Source organism: Homo sapiens, chromosome 9, assembly GCF_000001405.40.
Source record: "Homo sapiens chromosome 9, GRCh38.p14 Primary Assembly".
Lineage (NCBI taxonomy): Eukaryota > Metazoa > Chordata > Mammalia > Primates > Hominidae > Homo > Homo sapiens.
The window spans coordinates 127,224,900-127,245,269 of record NC_000009.12 but is presented as its reverse complement, the minus strand read 5'-3'; the positions used below and the strand labels follow the sequence as shown (position 1 = coordinate 127,245,269).

At 45.1% G+C, this 20,370-nt stretch overlaps 1 protein-coding gene and 1 long non-coding RNA gene across 11 annotated transcripts in view, besides 2 other annotated features; one reads left to right on the top strand and one right to left on the bottom strand.

Annotated features, from left to right (window-relative positions):
• The window catches only part of GARNL3 (GTPase activating Rap/RanGAP domain like 3), a 169,048-nt gene that overhangs the window by 148,391 nt on the left and 287 nt on the right, over nt 1–20,370 (bottom strand). For 3 of the 10 annotated variants that reach the window (XM_005252268.3, XM_047423967.1, XM_047423966.1), the window contains exon 2: nt 2,021–2,191. In XM_005252268.3, the coding sequence (XP_005252325.1) occupies nt 2,021–2,163 (143 nt within the window). In that variant the 5' untranslated portion in view covers nt 2,164–2,191. Of the gene's footprint in view, nt 1–2,016; nt 2,192–9,378; nt 9,477–12,819; nt 14,048–19,070; nt 19,236–19,866; nt 20,037–20,370 lie in introns of those variants that run through there. The other 7 variants (XM_011519087.3, XM_047423963.1, XM_011519086.4 and 4 more) reach the window with 7 other exon arrangements.
• Nucleotides 80–2,776, top strand: LOC124902274 (uncharacterized). The gene is made up of 2 exons (XR_007061793.1): nt 80–590; nt 2,023–2,776. It is a non-coding gene; the product is annotated as an uncharacterized LOC124902274 (long non-coding RNA).
• Nucleotides 18,635–18,684: a silencer, noted in NCBI's record as "silent region_20300". NCBI's record gives its function as "represses an Ori minimal core promoter by ATAC-STARR-seq in GM12878 lymphoblastoid cells {active_cell/tissue: GM12878}" and the evidence as "EXISTENCE:reporter gene assay evidence [ECO:0000049][PMID:35858748]".
• Nucleotides 19,583–20,302: a silencer, noted in NCBI's record as "silent region_20299". NCBI's record gives its function as "represses an Ori minimal core promoter by ATAC-STARR-seq in GM12878 lymphoblastoid cells {active_cell/tissue: GM12878}" and the evidence as "EXISTENCE:reporter gene assay evidence [ECO:0000049][PMID:35858748]".

The following is a 20,370-nucleotide window of genomic DNA, read 5'->3' as shown; positions in this document are numbered from 1 at the left end:
TGCGCTGTGCTCATAGGCTCTCCAGCGGTCCCGCCCGCCCCTGTTACACGTCACCCGCGCGGTGCACTGCGGGCCTTGCAGTCTGGAAAGGCAGCGGGCCAGCTCCACTGCGGGTACTTTAACTCCTGCTCGGAGCTCCAGCGCTGAGCGTCCTCAGGTTACCTCCAACCCCCCGCCCCGGACACAAATTCCTTTTCCTAATTAGTGATAAAGAGGGAAGACGGGGCTACCCACCCGCCCCACCTTTGGAACTGACGCCCTGGGTTCCCTCCCGTCCTCTGCAGTGCGCTGGGGTCACCGAGGACCCGCGAGACTACCGGGTCCATCTTGCTCAGATAATTCAGTATCGCCTGAAATTTGAAATTCCCATTTCAGATCAAGGAGACATTCAATATCTTATTCACCTGAGAGGCAGTTTCTGGAAGGTGCGGAAGCTCTGAAAAGCCAACAGTGACTCCTGGCTTCGCTAGTTTCCCTTAAGAATCAACTGACCATCACGATTTTATCTAAACGATGTGACCCGTTTACGTTCCAAACTGCATCACTTCTTCAGTGCATAAGAGCTGTCAATGGTGCCCATTGCTTAAGATGTAAGGTTCAGGCCCCTGAGCTAGGCATATAAGGTGCTTCATAATTATTTTTTATTCACTTATTTGTGGTTACATTTCTTAAGAGCAGCGTTTCTCAACGTCTACCACACGTGAGAATCACCTGGGGAGCTTTGTAAAAATACGAGTTCTTATGTCCCACCCTAGATCTCAGAATTTTGGAGGGGCAGGGCAGACTTCTATGTTTTTAAAGCTACCCTGGGTAATTTTCACGTGCAACCCGGTTTAACAACTGTTGGTTTACTGCCTATCAACACAGCCTCATGCATGTGAGCCTTTGCTTTGTGGCATCCTTGTTTTAAAGAGGTCTTCTTCCCTCTCTCTTGCCTGATCAATGCTCATCCTACAAGGCCAAGCTCAACTGTTATCCCTTCTCTTCCCTGTCCTCCAGCAGGTGATGGCTTCCTTTAGCACGTTATTCACGCTGCTTCTCCAGCATCACTGGTGTGACCTGGTGACTTGTCTGTCTCCCTGGATAAGTAGGGAGTTCCTTGAGGGCAGACAAAGTGTCTTCCTTCACCCACCTCAGATCCACTGAGTCAGAATCTCAAGGGGCAGGTCTCAGGCATAAATGATTTTTAAAGTCCCACTGGTGATTCTGATCCATGTCCTTATCTAGGAACTCGCTTCACAAAAGCACTGGGTACAGTAAACAAGCATACAAATATTTGTTGCATTGAATTGATGAAGCATCTCATTTGTTTTGAAGTCAACCGTGTTGTTGCATCTGGCTGCCTTTGATTCCCCCTGGAAAACTAAGTACCCCTCTCTTGTATCATCTTTATTCATTTACTTATTCATTCATCCGAGTATTATCATACACCATAACAAAGGCCTGGGGATTCAGGAGTAAATATAAAAACACAGTTACCACCCTATAGGCCTTAGAGTCTACTGATGTATTAATTCTATTCTAGTTATTATTAAAATTTATTTTGTATTACATTGTAATGTTTTTGCTTCCATATACTATTTATATTCAAAAGGTAGGTAAAATGTATTATTCTCTAATATCCCCAGTAGGTTGCTGGCACAGAGAAGGCATTCTGTAAATGTTTATTGAATCAAGGCAGCACATTTCATAGAGCTTATTACAAATTGCTAGTATTTATTTGTGTGATTATTTGAGTAATGGCTATCTGTCCTATGTGCTGCAAGCCCACTGATGACAAGAACTGAATCTATTTTGCTCATAATGTCTGACACAGGACCTGGACGAGTAGGTGCTCAATGAATATTACTAAATACACAAATAAGAACAGAAATGCAGTCTCCCAACCAAACATCCACTCCTCTCTCCCTCCCCACTATCCCCCCAGAAGTAAAAAGTATATTCTTCCTAAACATTAAGGGATTTCAAGCTATAGTGAACATAAACCCAAACTGAGATGATGCTTCTTTTACTTACTTACAGGTTGACCTGGGACTCTAGTTCAGGGTCTTTCGTTGGCCATGTCTGAAGGGGCTGGATGCCGAAGGAGAGAGACGACTTTGCTTTCCATAGAATGGTTTGTGCTATCTGACTCCCACAAGGCACCTTCGTTAACGGGTCCATCAGTGGGCCTGGAGGCTGGGCAGCTGTCCTGAAACAGAAGAGTTGGGAAAGGCACTAAGAGACAGAGAAGAACGGCAGGCCAATCCCTGGCCTGCTTTACCCTCCTCCCAAAGGCAGCCCCGCTGGTAAGCAAGGAGGAGGGTGACACTGAAGCACCCTCAAGACCCAGGGGCCCCACCAAGACCGCATATGACCTTACTGCATCAAGGAAGCATTGGGCCATGGAACCATCCAAGTCCTGTTACATCCCTCAGCAATCAGTTAAGTCCGCGGAGTATAAAGTAAAAGGAGGCCCAGTGAGCATTTGAACAATCACAAACTTGTTTAGAGAAAGGCAGTATGAATTTGGTAAGGGAAGCTATGTCTAGAATGCTTCTGGAGAATCACCGGTGGTAGGACTTCATGGCCATTACTGGGGTAGTCCAGGAGCACTTGGTTTATCTTCTAATTTAAAAATCCAAGAAAAGCCATAAAAAGGGCCTAGACTGGCAACAACACTGGAGACAAGGACTAAAGCCCACAGTTCAAGAGTAATAGCAGATAGTATATATAAGCAGTAAATGCTTGCTGAATTAATAAATGGCTTGTTCATGGGAATAAACTGAGAAATGCATTCCTGAGATGTGTCTGCTCCTTTCTCCGATGATGCATCAAGGAAGGTGGAAAAGGCAGTTGTGGGATGATGGGTCTACTTTGTTAGGAAATGCAGGCATCACACTCCTTCTGACTGGAATTATTTTCTGAGCCAATTAGCAGGGCTCTTCACTCACCTCTACCTCAACTGACAGACAAACAAGCCAGCAAAATCCAATTACTTGGAAATGGAAAAATAAAAAGCAATTTTATGTAACACTTTGGTCAAAGGGGACTCTTTATAATGTCTTCTTAAGAAACGTGACATCTCTGGCTGGAGTCGCGAGTGAATTTAAAAAAGAAAGAAAGAAAGACTGAGAAAAGACAAAAGGCCTAATGGCTCAGAAAGATTTTATGCATGAGAAGGGAGTGCTGTGAGGCTGGAGACCAAGAAAAGCGACTCCACACAAGTTGGGGCTTTGGAATCAGATAGGCACTGGCCACTCTGAAGGTTCTATAGTGGTGCCAGTTAGACCCAAGGCTGCAGGCATATTAAAAAACAAACAACAACAACAACAACAACAACAACAACAACAAACCAGGCCGGGCATAGTGGCTCACGCCTGTAATCCTAGCTATCTGGGAGGCTGAGGCAAAGGAATCACTTGAACCCAGGAGGTAGAGGTTGCAGTGAGCCGAGATTGCACCACTGCACTTCAGCCTGGGTGACAGAGCAAGACTGTCTCAAACAAAACAAAACAAAACAAACAAACAAACAAACAAAAAACCTCAAAAAAGTCACTCTAATGACCTGTGCCTAATGCAGGAAGGATTCAAGACTCACATAACCTCCTACCTGTCCCCTTTGTCTTCTCTCTTGTCAGGTCCCTCTGGTATTCCTCTTATAAATGATGACCTGGCTTCCCCCATTGCCTTTCCTGGGCCCAGCAGGCCACATGCTGCATACCTGACCCAGACTTCTAGGTAATCTCACCCTAGGCTGGCTTCAGGCCACTTATCTTGGCAGCAACTAGATAGACATCAAAGGCTCAAGTCACCCACTCATGACAAAGCGCAAGAAACCAGGGTTCTGTTATCAGTTGTTCTTTACCCAAAGGAGCCCTGAGTCTTCTAAAACCCAGTGTCACTAGAGTTTACGGCTACCTTAGTGATACACCAACAAATAAATAACAAATCAGGGCTTCAGGATGAGAGACATTTTCTTTTTTTTTTCTTTTGAACCTCCCAGATTTATTTTAATTACAAAGATAATACTTGTATGCAAAAGATTTATTAAGCAGTGCTCTCAAGATACCGATGAGGGAGTGGAGGAAGCAGGACAGGGAACGAGAAGAAACCCAGTGAGACTTCAGTTTCAGGCAGAGCCCTGCGGAGGAACAGCTTCCATGTGACTGACGCTGAGCTGTCCGACTGGGTAGCCACTAGCCACTACTGAGCAACTGAAATAGGGACATCCCAAGTGAAGTGTGTTACACACTGGGTTTTGAAGACTTAGTACAAATAAAAATGAATTCAAAACATCTCATTAATAGTTTTTCACACTGATTACATGTTGAATGATATAAATACACTGTTAGAATGATTTTAATTAAAAAAAATTTTTTTGAGACAGGGTCTCACTCTGCCACCCAGGATGGAGTGCAGTGGCACAATCATAACTCACTATAGCTTTGACTTCCCAGACTCAGGAGATACTCCTGCCTCAACCTCCTGAGTAGCTGGGACCACAGGTGTGCACCATCACATCTGGCTAATTTTTTAAAACATTATTTGTATAGACATGGGTCTCCCTATGTTGCCCACAGTGGTCTGAAACTCCTCAGCTCAAGTGATCCTCCCACCTCGACTTCCCAAAGTGTTGGGATTACAAGCATGAATGCCATGCCTAGCCCCTTATTAAAATGAATTTTAATGTGGCTACTAGAAAATGTAAAGTCACATATGTAGGTTGCTTTATATTTTGGACACTGCTGCTCAAGGCAACTGACATCTCAGAGTTGTCCCCACCTGAGACAAGGGGCGAGGCTTCCATTTCCTGCAGCCTCAGTTACTGGCTGAGGGCCACAGGGTGGGAGTGAGGATGGGGTGATGTAAAGGCCCAAGTGAATCCTTCAAGCTGTCTACACATGTGGGGTGCAAGGGTGCAAAGGCAGTTCACCTGCGAGTTACCATTGTGAGGGCTGGCGGTGCATGGCACTCAGGATGGGAAAAAGAGCACAGAAACGGTAAAGGGACCTGAGGGCACCTAAGGGGACTGGCTGACGATGTCCATGACACCCCCCACCCCACTCCCTTTCCTCTTCAGTAGCTCCCTACCACTTCAGTAGTTTGGCTTCCTACCATTCTTTTCTCTATCTGCAAACCTTTATGCAATATATACGCTTGGACTATACAATGTTCTGTGACTTGCTTTTCTTTCTAAACTAGAGGTCTTACACATCTTTCTACATCAGTAAATATACATGCATCCTTAATTTGGAATATTACAGAATACATTGTTTACATTCTTTTTAGCTTTTTAATCTTTAAATACTAAGATGATTTAATTATCTTACCATGTTCTTTTCTAGCCCTTTAAACTTTAAGATTTTATTAAAAATTTGAAAGGCTAGCCTTTTTAAACCTTTTCTCTCATTTAATTTTATCTTTTTGGCATCGTTACTCTTAGAGTTCTTTTTTTGCACTTTCATCAAATTCTCTGACTTCTAAAACTGTTCAGATTTTGTCTCCTCACTGTTAATTTTAATCTATTTACTCATTTCTTTTATCTTTTCTAGTCCTAACTTTCTAATTTTAAAAAATATGTTCCTCTTAACCTTCTGACATATTTTACCTTTATCTTCTCACTATTTAAAATATATAGCAGTTGAAGAACTTCTTGGAAAGAAGTGGAGTAAGTACTCATTTGCATAATAACTCCTTGGCACTCTAGGAAAAAAGCAAAAAATAGCTCAATATATAAAGACAACTTATTGAAACAAGAGAGTGGCCAAATTCCATGCTAGAACTCTGAGATCTGCTACATATGATTAAGTGTAGACAAACTGAAAGAGATCATTGAGAGTCTGTACATCTCCCGTAATGTGAGGGAAATGACCTGGCGTGTCCTGAAGGCCTGGCCAGGCTTGATTTGGAGGGGTGAGGACTGGCAGCAAGGGTGGGACTTGGCAGAGGGTTCCCTCTTTGTTTTTTTCACTGTCCCAGCTTTCTAATGAGAAAGGGTGACCTTCTGAGGACAGGCTGAAGAAGAGAGGGATAAGTATGTCTTAGGAGCCACTTAGATCTCTTGAAAGATATTAACCAAAAGTACATGTGAACCTGCCCAAAGAAAGACTACAAGTCAGGGGAAATCACACTGACCCACAGAGGGTCTTGCCTTGAAGTGGGGGTGAAGGCTGGAAATTCAAGGGAAGCCCTGCCAGGGGGGTCAGATACAGCACAGGAACAGGTAATTGGGTGGACTGATGGGAAAATGTGGGACTGGTAAGAAGAGATGGCACATTCCTACTGCTTCTGTACCCTCCCCACTTCCTGAGGCCAGACCTCAAGCTCAGGTTCTAAAAGAGAAGATCCAACCATTGCTCAGATAGAGCGGGAGGGAGTCTAGGTGGTTCCACCCACATTATTAGTGGGTACACGACCCAGGAGAGCTGCTTCTAGTCAAAGATGAACATGCAAGACTACCGAGCACAGGACCTATGAGAAACGCAGCACCGGACAGATGAGGAGTACAGATCAGGTTTCCACAGGGAGCAGATGAAAAATAAGACACCAAGAGAACAAAGCTTCTCTCAAAACGTCCAATACTGCAATAGGCAGATTTCAGAAGGCTCTAGGATAAATATCCCAGAATAAGGTAGGAGAAAGGATGATTCAGTGTGGAAGTGCTTTCTGGGGGCAGTGGACCTGTAGGAGAGGACATGGGGGTATCCCTGAGCAGTTCTCCTATGGAAAGTGTTTTTGTATGTATGTGGTTTCCTATTTGACAGAGGACAGCCCTGAGAAGCACACAGTTTACAGTTTTCCCCTCCTGTGTTGTGACTCCCAAGCCCTAGGTGTGCCTTGAGTCTTAGTATTATGAGTCCAAAGAGATGGAGGTAGAGAGAAACGTAGCCTACTTCACAGTTAGGCCTCTCCTCAAGGCCACAAGGAAGTAACAGCAGTCCAGAGAACTTGTCTGGGAGCTCGACTGGGCTCCCCTAGCTGTGGCAGCCACAGCCAGGCCTGATGAGGCCTAATTAAGAGGTCTCAAAGAGACCATACTTCGGAAGGCCAAGGTGGGCGGATCACGAGGTCAGGAGTTCGAGATCAGCCTGGCCAACATGGTGAAACCCCGTCTCTACTAAAGATAACAAAAAAATTAGCCAGGCATGGTGGCATGCTCCTGTAATCCCAGCTACTCAGGAGGCTAAGGCAGGTATTCGTCTGGCATAGGGAGAACATGTCAGGTTGATCTGGCCTTTCTTGAATGAGGTCACTGCTGGCTTTAGTCAGGCGGATGGGAAACCTGCTCCACTGCTTTACCAGTCTCTGATAGGCAGCTGCTTTGTGAGGACTGTGACAAGTGCACAGGAGCAAAGACAATCCATCTGCAAAACATCAACCCGGGCTTGATCTATGGAACTGACACTGGGGAATACTTAGTGGCTGGCAGTGCTTCTAGAGACACTTTTTTCTCTGGTCATAAAATGCAAGACAGATATTTATGTCCTTACTTCCATTTGTGCTGAAACTATGCAATCGCTGACACTTATGGTTGGAAAGTCTACCTCAAGCACCCAACTGAGGCTGGATTGCCCATTTTTACCTCTTCACCCAATAAGGTGGTTCCCACATGGGCATGCCAGCTATGCAACAGCACACCCATGTACAGGGAACCTTTGGCTACTATGTGACCAACTTTCCATCAATATGTCTCATTTATTTTTGTTATGATTGGAGAAAAATACTGTCTGTGGCAGATACTGTGGAATGACTTGCTCAATACCCACTTCAGTCCCCTTCCACTGTGCAAAAGTTGGAAAGCTAAAACTTAAATGTTCTCAACTCCTTTGTAGTAGAGTTCTGGACGTGATTTAGATTCCACAAGTCAGATGCACTCATGAGAGACTCTGACTTGGAACTGAGTCAGTGGTGCAAAAGAGAGGATATAAGCATTGTTCTGGTTTTACAGACAGTGACAAGAGTATCATGGTTCTAGAGTCAGCAGCTTCTTGATTCTCCAGCTTTCTGAAGTAGCAGTGGTGGCTCTGGGGATCCAGGCAGAGTCGGCAGCATGGGTCTGTAGTTAGTCAAGGTGCCAGGATCTCCTTGCTTCTTGATTGATCAGCTTCTTGACATGATGCGGCAGCTTTCCTTTCCTGAAGACAGCAGAACAGAGTGGTCCTGGGAGCTCAGACAGCAGTCGGCTCTCCAGCCCTTCCAACAAACTTGTACACACTTAATTCCCTGGATCAGTACAACATCCCTTACTGCTTATATTGGGTAGAGTGGATTCTGTTGTCTGCAACAGATTACTAACTGATATGCCTTTTTTAGTGTCTGTCAGATTGGATTGTGAGCTTAACAGTTTAAATGACCCTGTGCAGAGCGCAGAGTAGGGCACAAATTTCTTCTTCTGGCAGGAGTAATGGATAACCTCCAGTGGGCAACAAAAAGAGACTGCATATTTTTACTGGAATACATAGGAATGTTGTCTTTTAGAATAAAAGAGAGCCTGCTCAAAGCACTAGGAATTTCTGCTCAAGCAGCAAAGAAATGTTGAGGAGCAACCAAAAGAATAGCACACTAGGGTCGTGTGGAGGCTCACACCTGTAATCCCAGCACTTTGAGAGGCCGAAGCAGGGGGAACTGAGGCCAGGAGTTCAAGACCAGCAAGGGCAACATAGTGAGACCTTGTCTACAAAAAGTTTAGTCCTAGTTACTCAGGAGGCTGAGGTGGGAGGATCAGGTGAGAGCATCACTTGAGCCCAGAGGTTCGAAGTTACAGTGAGCTATGATCACGCCACTGTGCTCCGGACTGTCTGGTCTAGAGACAATAGGTCTAGAGACCCTATTTCTAACAGCACACTAATTGAGAATACTTCTGAGGTCACTGTTACACTGGAGTGTGATTGTGCTATCACTGGTGCTGACCTGCTCAGCATTGTTTTGAGTCTTTTCAAGTTTGTTCCCAAAAATTATATTCAAAAGTGTGCAGAAAACATAAAATAGTTGAGAAATACTAGTCTAACTTATAGATGCTTTGACATTTCCGATAATAACATTTTTTACTGCTCCTTACAGTAAGCCATCCTAGCTTGGGGCAGAACTAACTGTAGGAATGTACTTTCAGGTACTGAGTCCAACCAGTTTTAATATACCTCATACCCACTGTGATTTCAGGTCTAGCCAAGGGCCATATGCCGAGTGAGCCTAATTTCTTTGTAAATGAAACCCTGTCAACTGTGGTAAGGCAGCTGTCATATCCTCCATGAATTTTCTTTTTCATGTAAAACACTACTCTCCCATATTGATTTTTTCCCTTTTTGGATCACTTCCATCAGATATAAACATCTTTATAAAACAAGAGCTAAAAAACCCAAACAAAAACATACAAACAAAAACAAATTTTCAACTCACATTCCCTCCACCTGTGCAAAGAGTTGACTGTAGTCGTTGTTTCCAATCATCTCCTCTCATTATCTCTTGAAGCCAGTCCAGTGAGATTTTCACCCTCACTGTTCCAAAGAAACAGTTTTGTCAAAGGCCACCAATGGACCAATAATGCTAAACCCAGTGGTCAACTCTTAGTTCTTCATTTTGTCTGACCTATCAACATATGACACAGAAAATCATTCCCTCTTTGTTTTTTTAAAAAAACAAAAAAACAAAAAAACTATATGAATCTTATTTCCCCCAAATAAAAAATGTCAATCACATTATGTATCCATGACACAATGATTTCACATTCAAGTCTCAAGTCTACATTTCACTTGGGATTTATATGAACAATTAATCAAAGTCTACCAAATCACAGGTTACCTTTCAGACTAATAAAGTTTCTGTAGTGATTCTCTTTCCTAACATCTCCTGATATCCCTTTATTCCACAAAATTTTTATGTTTCCCTATTTCACTGTGATTCACAGTTACATTAAATAACAAAGCTAAACAAAACAAAAACCTTGGTGCATTCTTTCAAACGTTTCCTACCTGAGGATCCATATCTGCTCTGTCCTAAGGCAGCCACCAACCACAGGTGGCTACTCAGCACTTAAAATGTGGCTAGCCTGAAGTGAGATGTGCTATAAGTGTAAAATGCATACTAGATTTTGAAGACAGTATGGGAAAAAAGGAAACTTTCTCAATAATTTGGCCACTAGAATTTTTAAATTACATATGCAATTCTGTACCCTGGCTATCGCCAGAAGCTGCTTATTTCTCTTCACTTAACACATATGTATATGCTAGGTATCTTTCCAAGCAGAAATATAAATTCTAAGAGATTATTCATATTGACATACTTCTGATGGACTTAAAAAAAAAACTTTTATAAGTGCTATGATCTAATGTCTGTGTCTCTCCAAAATTCATATGTTGAAACTTAATCCCCAACGTGGTAGTATTAAGAGATGGGGCCTTTGGGAGGCGATTAGGACACGAGGGCTCAGCTCTCATGAATATGTCCTTTTGTGTCTGTATAACAGAATCCCAAGAGAGCTTATTCACCTTTTCTACCACATGAGGACACAAAAGGTGCTGTAGCAGGCCCTCATCAGACACCAAATCTGCTGGTACCTGGATCTTGGACTTTACAGCCTCCAGAAGTGTGAACAATAAATTTCTGTTTATAAATTACTCAGTCGAAAGGATTTTGTTTTAGCAGCCCAAATGGACTAGGGCAACAAGCAATCCTACAGTGAATAGCCTTCTTCGTAAATCTCTTTGGGCAGTCACACCTCATTGCTAACTCATACTTGCTTACTGTCCTCTAAGATCCTAGCTCTAGAGACAACTAGATGTGGGGTTTCTATTTTCCCACATCTCTACACTCTCTGCCTCTGTATATCTCTGCATGCTGCTGTAGAACTTCTCCTCCCAGGAAAACCAGCCGTGAGTCTCACTGTAAAGGACAAATCTTTTATAATTTTCCTACAGCACTGTTTGTCAGACTTCATCTCTCTTAAGATCTTTAACTCTGGAAACCAGACAACCAAGCATAATCTCTCATATTAACCTTCTAAAGCAAAACTAATTTGAGTATTGTCTTCCTCCAAGAAAGGAAGCTGGTTTGCATTAATTTAAAATCTTAGTGAATAATAAAAGTTGTTTTTTCTCTGCTCTTAGGAGAACAGACATAATATGAAAATTAATTTTCTTCTGCTGGCTCTAAGAGCCCATTATGTCAGCCCAATACTAGACAGCTTTTAATAGTCTTTCCCAAGAAGGCTGCTGTTTTTCCAAAAGAAAACTGACAGCAGCAGATTTATTTGTGATTAAATACTTAAGGGCCTGATACAAACAAAAAAAGTAATAACGGAACACAGAGGAATGAAGACTGTGAAAAAAGCTCACATTAAAATATTTGTTCACAAAACTACCTGAAAAAAAGAAAGTCTGGAAAACTACAAGAAAAACAAACTCTAAGAGTCCCAAGAAACATAAGGAAGAAGAAAAGGAGGCACCCCGACGCATAATGGATAACTGCTCTTTTCTGAACTTATCTTGGCCTGGAAAGCAACATTCAGGAACAAGAAAGCATTTGTCTTGGCATCGAATTTGTTCTCACAAGGCGTGGGTTCTATGCATTACTAATAAGGAAACCACCATGCACAGAGCAATATTTGGGAAAGTAGAAAATATGTTTTCCATTTGTAATTCAAAATCTTCTGTCTATGGTAGGGCTCTGCACCCACAATGGCTAAACTTAGCAAGCATAATTTAACCACTTAACTAAGGCAGGCTTTTACAACAAAAACTAAAAAAAAATACAGAAACCCCAATTCTGTGACCCTGGGTGGCATCTGGGTATTCATACTTTGGAAAAGCATCCCAGATATAATGACTTTTTTTTCTACCAACCCAATATCAATTCCCTTCTTCTGGTAATAGCACTGTGGTTTTCCTTTGAGAAATCACTACTTCTTGGTCTCTGTGAATGGAAGATTTCAGCACGTGACCAGGCCCAGCCAATCAGCATGTTTCACCCCCTTCTAGCCAAAGCAATTGGTTCAAGGATGACCATGGAACCCAAGAGAGCCAATGAATGTCAACTCAGGGACATATGCTAGAAATATTATTGTTATTTTAAGAGACAGGGTTTCACTTTGTCACCCAGGCTGGAGTGCAGTGGCATGATCCTGGCTCACTGTAGCCTCAAGCTCCTACTCTAGTGATCCTCTCATCTCAGCCCCCTGAGTAGCTGGGACTACAGGCATGCAATACCATGCCCAACTAATTTTTATTTTTTATTTTCTTTTGAGACAAGGTCTTGCTCTGTCACCCAGGCCGGAGTGCAGTGGTATAATCATGACTCACTGAAACCTCGACCTCCTGGACTCAAAAATTTTGGGATTACAGGCACAAGCCACCATGCCAAGTCATATGCTAGAATTATTGAGAAAGCAGTCCTATATTTCTGCTGGGATCCTACATTGAAATTAAGTCTGGAGTAGTTAACTTTCTTTGCCTCGATGAGGAAAGGCCTTGAGCATAAAGTCAACCCAGAAGATGAAGACTACTAATGTCATTATTCAAGCACCTGGAGCCATCTTTTCCCAACACTTGGTCTACCCCAGCATTTTGCAATTGCAGGAACCAATAACTCTCCTTTGCTTGTCATTCATAGATTTTGACAATATTAAGAAAAAATTTAACTACTGGTAAGGCACTGATATCAGCCAATCAGGAAAGATGCTAATGCAGGCTGGGCACGGTGCCTCATGCCTGTAATCCTAGTGCCTTGAGAGGCTAAGGTGGAAGGATCACTTGAGCCTAGGAGTTCGAGGCCAGCCTGGGCAACACAGGAAGACCTCATCTCTACACAAAAATTTAAAAATTAGCCAGGAGTAGTTGTGCATACCTGTAGTCCTAGCTACTCAGGAGGCTGAGGCAGGAGGATCATCGAGCCCAGGAGTTCAAGGCTGCAGTGGGCTATGATCATGCCACTGTACTCCAGCCTGGGCAACAGAGTGAGAATCTGTCTTTTAAAAAGACAAAAAGAAGGGATGTTGATGAGTTACTACTCCTGCTTCAGTAGCTGAAGGAGAAGGGTTCAATGGTGATTACAAGTGGGTAAGAGCCACCTGACAATTAAGGCTACACCTGGAATCAGCCTACGAACATTGGTACTGCAAGTGGCCATGAGAGCATCATGAGTGATGGGTGGCAAGAATAATGAGGCAAGCTTTGACTTCACTCTCAGGGAAAGCTAATGCAGCTGCTCAATATTAAAAAGGCTTGCTTTATGAAGTGGTGGGCTCCTGGACCTTAGATGTAAGAAACAGAAGCCAAATGATCAACTACAAAGGTTGTTGCAGGAAAGATTCTGGTATTACTCAGAGGGTTGGTTTTTGAAGTACTGTATGTCCCTGGGCCAGCAGTATGGCATTATTTATGAGCGTGTTAAAAACACAGATTCATAGAACCCACTGATGACCTTGTGAATCAGAATCTCTGGGGGTGGGGCTCAGGCAACTGTGTTTTAAGAAGCCCTCCTCCTATCTATGCTCTGTTTGAGAACTGTATTAGCAATCTGACTCAGTTTCGTTAGCCCCATTCCACAGATTCCGACTAAGTAGATTTGGGGTGAGGCTTGAGAATCTGATTTCTAACAAGTTCTTAGGGAATGCAGATGCTGCTGGTCCAGGGACCACACTTTGAGAAGCAATGTCTGAGCAGTTGACCTAGGTGATGTCTAAAGTTCCATTCAAAGTTGAGATTATTTGATCTTCAGGATTTACCTCACAAATTCAATCCTACTAATATATAACCCTGTTAATGTGGTAGCTCATATGTGGTTTGGCCTCTATGAAATATTGCAGCCAAAATGACACAGCTCAGCAATAGAAAATATTTTAAAATAACTCTGGTTCATCAATTTCTTGATCACCACAAAGGGACAAAAGACAACAGATATATGTCTTAAAATATCATTTGCCTGGCCGGGCGCAGTGGCTCACGCCTGTAATCCCAGCACGTTGGGAGGCCGAGGCGGGCGGATCATGAGGTCAGGAGATCTAGACCATCCTGGCTAATACAGTGAAACCCTGTCTCTACTAAAAATACAAAAAAAAAAAAAAAAACAAAAAATTAGCTGGGCGTGGTGGCGGGCGCCTGTAGTCCCAGCTACTAGGGAAGCTGAGGCAGGAGAATGGCATGAACCCAGAAGGCGGAGCTTGCAGTGAGCCGAGATAGCGCCACTGCACTCCAGCCTGGGTGACAAAGCTAGACTCTGTCTCAAAAAAAAAAAAAAAAAAAAAATATATATATATATATGTATATATACATATATGTATATATACACATATGTGTATATATACATATATGTGTATACACACACACACACACATATATATCGTTTGCCTGTATTAGCTTCCCTCACACAAAGTAGGTTTTCCTGTATGTTTCACCTCTAAACACCCCTAAAAGTTTTGTTCAGCCAATCCTAACCATTTCCCTAGGTACCTATTGTCCTTTTCCTCACCTCCTCTCTTCCTAAATCTGCAGCTCAAAAATGCAACAAAGCAAAGCAGAACCTTATTCTGAGGGCAGGGGAGGAGGAAAAACTGAATAGACAAAGCCGAAGTTTCAATCAGGCAAGGGGAGGAAAAGGTTGAGAAGAATTTTTATGTAAACGTCTTTTTTTTTTTTTTTTGGTGAGATGGAGTTTCACTCTTGTTGCCCAGGCTGGAGTGCAATGGTGCGATCTTGGCTCACCGCAACCTCTGCCTCCTGGGTTCATGCGATTCTCCTGCCTCAGCCTCCTGAGTAGCTGGGATTACAGTCATGTGCCACCACGTCGGCTAATTTTGTATTTTTAGTAGAGACGGGGTTTCTGCATGTTGGTCAGGTTCGAACTCCCGACCTCAGGTGATCTGCCTGCCTCAGCCTCCCAAAGTGCTAGGATTACAGGCATGAGCCACCATGCCCGGCTGAATGTTTGTCATTTTTGTCCAGAGCAGTTACCATTTACTAAAGCTTTGTGCCAGGTACTGTTTTTAGCACTTTGCATTAATTAGTTCATTTAAAGCTGACAGCAATACTTTGAGGCAGGTCATTTTATAAAGGAGTTAACTAAGGTTCAGAGGGGTTACGCAATTTGTCCAAGTTCACAAGTGGTGAGTGAAAAGACAGAAACTTGAACCCAAGTCTGTCTCACTCCAAAGCCCTTGTTCTTTAACACTATCTGATGTGCCTTCCTACAAAATGATGGCAAACACATCCAGGGCAAGTGGTTTAACAGCATAAGTGTCTTATTCTACTGCATCCAGGTTTCCCAGCTAGTCTCTCACTGCCCCTGCCTGGAGGCCTAATGCCTGGGCTATTCCCTTCGCCTTTACATTCATCAGTTTGCTGTGTCTGCAGGCTAGTTAGTTATCAGAGCTGACATCAGATATTTAGCCAACAGAGTTGCCAAAGTGAAAATAAGGACTTTCTTCTCCTGATGCCAACAAGATGCTTAGGTAAATATGGCTAAACCAGATTCTGAAAAGCCCTAAACATGAGTCATTTAAACTGCTGGGTATGGTGGCTCAAGCCTGTAACCCAGCACTTTGGGAAGCCAAGGCAGTAGGATAGCTTGAGGCCAGGATTTCGAGATCAGCCTGGGAAACAAAGTGAGATCAAGTCTCTACACAAAATTTTAAAAGTTAGCTGGGCATGGTGGCACTCACCTGTAGTCTCAGCTACTCGGGAGGCTGGGGTTGGAGAATCGCTTAAGTCCAGGAGTTCAAGGATGCAGTGAGCTATGATTATGCCACTGCACTCCAGCCTGGGCAATAGAGTGAGACTTTGTCTCAAAAATAAATGAATAAATACATAAAATGGATATAACAGGAAATGAGAAAGAATTAAGGACTTTGGATAAGGGAGGCCAATCTGGTAACAGGCCCACAATTGAGGCAGGCGCTGTTGCCTCTGAAGCACCTGCAGAGCTTTCTGAACATCCACAGGCCCAGTGCCACCCTGAACTTTCTGAATCAACAGGCCTGGAGCAGGGGCACCCATATGCACCTGTATGGCTAAGACGGTCCACAGGTGATTCTGACACACAGTCAGGGTTGTGAGGTAATTTGGATTAATGAATTAAGGGGTAGTTTTTCGAAGCAACAAAAATAAGGGGAGAAGGTATAGATGAACATTTATCTGTTTTAAGTTAAGGAATTCACTTTTACTTAAGCATAAACAGAGCCAGGCACAGTTACTCACACCTGTAATCCCAGCACTTTGGGAGGCCGAGACGGGTGGATCACTTGAGGTCAGGAGTTTGAGACCAGCCTGGCCATCATGGTGAAACCCCGGTCTCTACTAAAAAATACAAAAGTTAGCCGAGTGTGGTGGCATGCGCCTGTAATCCCAGCTACTCAAGGCTGAGGCAGAAGAATTGCTTGAACCCAGGAGGCGGAGGTTGCAGTGAGCCGAGATTGAGCCACTGTACTCCAGCCTGGGTGACAGAGCAAGACTCTGCCTCAAAAACAAACAAACAAACAACAAAAAAGTATAAACAGGAGGAAGATCTGACTAAATTTTAAAACAACAACCACAATTTAAAAAAGCTTTATCAGAAACATAAAGAAAATTAAAAGGCAAATAATAAACTGAAAAAAGTATTTGCTATATATTTGACCTAAACAATTAATTTCCTTAATAAATAAATAAAAAGTGCTTCAATTCAATAAGGAAAGCATAAGCATTCCAAAGGAAAATCGACAAAGTGTATGCATCTATATTTCATAAAAATAAGTATAAATTATGGATAAATACAAGGAAAAGTTTCACCTCACTATGAAACAAAGAAATTCAAATTAAAACAAGGTACCACTTTGGCAAATATTTATAAATGATAATGCCTAGTATTGAGAGTGGGGAAAAACAGGCACACTCATATGCCCTTGGGGGACTATAAATTGGTGCAACTCTCTGGTGAGCAATTTAGCATTATGCTTCAAAAGGCTTTAAAATGTTCATTTTCTTTGATCCAATAACTCCCATCACTTCTATAAATTTATGATGACCTGTTTATAAAAGTTGACCTCTTCATAGCTAAACAAATGCACATGGATTTACAGCATCTTTAGTAAGAGTGAAAAACTGTAAGTAAACTACATGTGTCCAATAAATAAATGGTAATATATCCATATGACAGAATACCAGGCAGCAATTTAAAAGAGATTTCAGAAATGTTTAAGGATGTGTGGAAATCCTTACACTATATTAAGTGGAAAAGCAAGTTAAAACATTAATATAAATATACACATACATAGTTAAGAAAAAAGGCTAGTTAATACCTAGTGGTATTATGGGTAAATAAACATTTAATTATCCTCTTTATATTTTTCTTGATTTTTCAGATTTCTTCTCACAAACACAAATTAGTTTTGTTTTATTTTATTGAGATAGGGTCTTGCTCTGTTGCCCAGGCTGGGGTGCAGTGGTGCAATCACAGCTCACTATAACCTCAAACTCCTGGGCTCAAGTGATCCTCCTGACTCAGCCTCTGGAGTAGCTGAGACTACAGGCATGTGCCACCATGCCTGGCTAATTTCTTTTAATTTTTGTAGAGATGGGGTCTTGCTATGTAGCCCAGACTAGTCTTGAACTCCTGAGGCCTCAAGCGGTCCCCGTGCCTCAGCCTCCCAATGCATTGAGTGTAGGTGTGAGCCGCGATGCCCAGCCACAAATTAGGTTTTTTTTTTGTTTTTTGTTTTTTTTGAGACGGAGTCTCACTCTGTCGCCCAGGCTGGAGTGCAGTGGCACAATCTCAGCTCACTGCAACCTCTGCCTCCTGGGTTCAAACAACTCTCCAACCTTAGCCTCCTCAGTAGTTGGGATTACAGGCGCCTACCACCACAACCGGCTAATTTTTGTATTTTTAGTAGAGATGGGGTCTCACCATGTTGGCCAAGCTGGTCTCAAACTCCTGACCTCAAATGATCCATCCGCCTCGGCCTCCCAAAGTACTGGGATTACAGGCATGAGCCACTGCGCCTGGCCCACAAATTAGTTTTATAGTCAGAAAAAATGATAATCATTATTATCCTACAGCTGATAAGATAATGTCATGGAGTATCAAATAGAGAATAAGAAAACTCTGGAGGCCAGGAAATCATTAGTCTTTCAGGTGTAAGGTTATGAAGACAAAGGAGAGGGTAATAAAAGTGGGAATTCAAAGGGAAACATTTTCTAAACTGGCACTGCCCAATATGGTAGACTTTAGTCCTAGGCGGTTAAATTAATTAAAGCTAAATAAAATGTAAAATTCAGTTCCTTAGCTCAACTAGCCACATTACAAGTGCTGCATGGCCACAGGTGCCTAGAGGCTACCGTAACAGACAGCATGGATTATAGGTTTCCATCACTGCGGAAAGTTCCACGGGACAGCGCTGCTCCATGCATTCCACTTCAGGCCTGAGGGATCCAGCTTCCGGCTTGTCTCTTCAGCCTCATCCCTTGGTTCAGTTTCTCACATCCTTCATGCTCCAGCAACAAGCATGTAAGCACCATGAGCACAGAGACCGTTATCTGTCTGGTTCTCCAAGTCTAGTGGGGGAGACATACTACCTGGGTAACTACACGCAGTGTTATGTGGACTTGAAGACAGGTGCACAGATTATTAATACAGCAAAGAGCTCAATCTGGGGTTCAAGGAAGACTTCCGAAGGAGGAGGGGTGGGCGTATACAGAGAGGAAAGGAAAGAAAATTCTAAGTAGAGAGAAGAGTGTGATATGAATAAGGGCCCAGATGAGAAACAGTGCAGCACAAGGGAGGAAGCACCAGCGGGTCAGACACTGACTCATACAACACACAGATGATGTCCCATGGGCCAGGCCTGAGCCAGCTCTGGGCACCCAGGGGTGACCAGGACAGCTCTGTTCTCTGCCCCCGCGATGCTTATATGCCAGGCTCACCAGTACTGCTGGAGCGCCAAGGGTGAGGCAGGGAATGCCAAGAACTGAGGATGGAGGGAAAAGGCCAAGTCAAGGGCCCCGCACTTCATCTTAAGGATCCTGGTTAGTTTGCTTTTTATCCTAGCAATGGAACCCTCTTATTGGCCTCAGTGCGGGTCGGAGTCCACATCCTTCTCTCTCTCTGTCCCCCACTCTGGTCCCTACCACTGCTGCGGGTGATGGGGAGCTCCTCAAGGGGTGTTGGCCGCGAAGGGCACAGTCACGGCTTTAGGAAGACCTCTTTCGCGGCCGGCTGGGGTGTGGATTTCAGAGGTGTCAGAACAGAGATGGGAAGTGTGGCTGAGAGGACGTTGGAGTCATCTCCAAGACCTGAGAAAATGGTAGGGCCGACTTGAGCGACGTCGAAGCAGGAGAATCCGTTCCAAGTTCAGGGACTGCCAGGGAAGCTGAGGGAGGGCACGCGCCCGGGCGGCTGTAGTCCCGTGAGAGGCCCCGGGGGAAGAGCAGCCTAGGGGCGCCGGCGGCCCGGGCAGAGGCCGGCGTCGCGAGGGAGAGGGGCGCAAGGGGCGCGAGGGGCGCAAGGGGCGCGAGGGGCGCGGGGGCCGCGGAGGCAGCAGGTGTGCGGCTGCCAGGGCACGCGGGCGCCGGAAGGAAGCCTCCAGTGGACGGAGGGGTGAGCTCCCGACCTTGCCCTTGAGGGTTTACCAGAGGTGGGCAGGGCACATTCTCCTCAGCCCATGCCCCGCCGAAGCCGCGGGCGTGCGGGGCCTGCCACTGGACCGACGCTTCTGGACGCCCGACACCCGTCCCTGCACCTCCCGCGCGACGGCCCGGCCCCTCCCACAGCCCACGGCCGTTCAGCCCGGGCTCCGCGCCCGGTCTCCTGAGAACCTCCGCAGACCCTTCCCACGCCACGGCCTCGCCCCGCTGTCCCTTCACATCGCCATCCCCCCACGTGGCCGGCACCCCGCCCGGCCGCACCCCTCCCCGTCCGCAGTACCTTGGGCTCTCGAAGCTGCACCCCCTGCGCCGCAGCGCCGCCCTCTTCTGCCGCAGGAGCGCAGCGGCCACCCCGCCGGGCTCCGGTTCCATCGCCCCGGGCGGGGGCCGCGGGCTCGGGCGCACTCGGGTGGGCTCGGGCCTCGGCCGGCCGCTCGGCTCGCGCGCCGCAGCCCACGTCCCGCCCCTCTCCCCTCGCTGGGCCCAGGCCCCGCCCCGGCGCCGCCCCGAACCACAGCCCAGCCCGCCTCGCGCCTCTCATCCTGGTTCAGGCCCCGCCCCAGCCCCGCCCCGAACCCCAGCCTGCCCAGACCCTCCGCTGGGCCCAAGCCCCGCCCCGCGATCACTCACCCTGGTCCCGGCCCCGCCCCGCGCCCGCTCAGCCTGTTACAGGCCCCGCCCCGGCCCCGCTCCCAACTCCAGCTCTGCTTCCCCCGCGCCCTCAGCCCGGAGCAGGCCCCGCCCACGCCCCGCCCACGCCCCGCCCACGCCCCGCCCCGCGCTC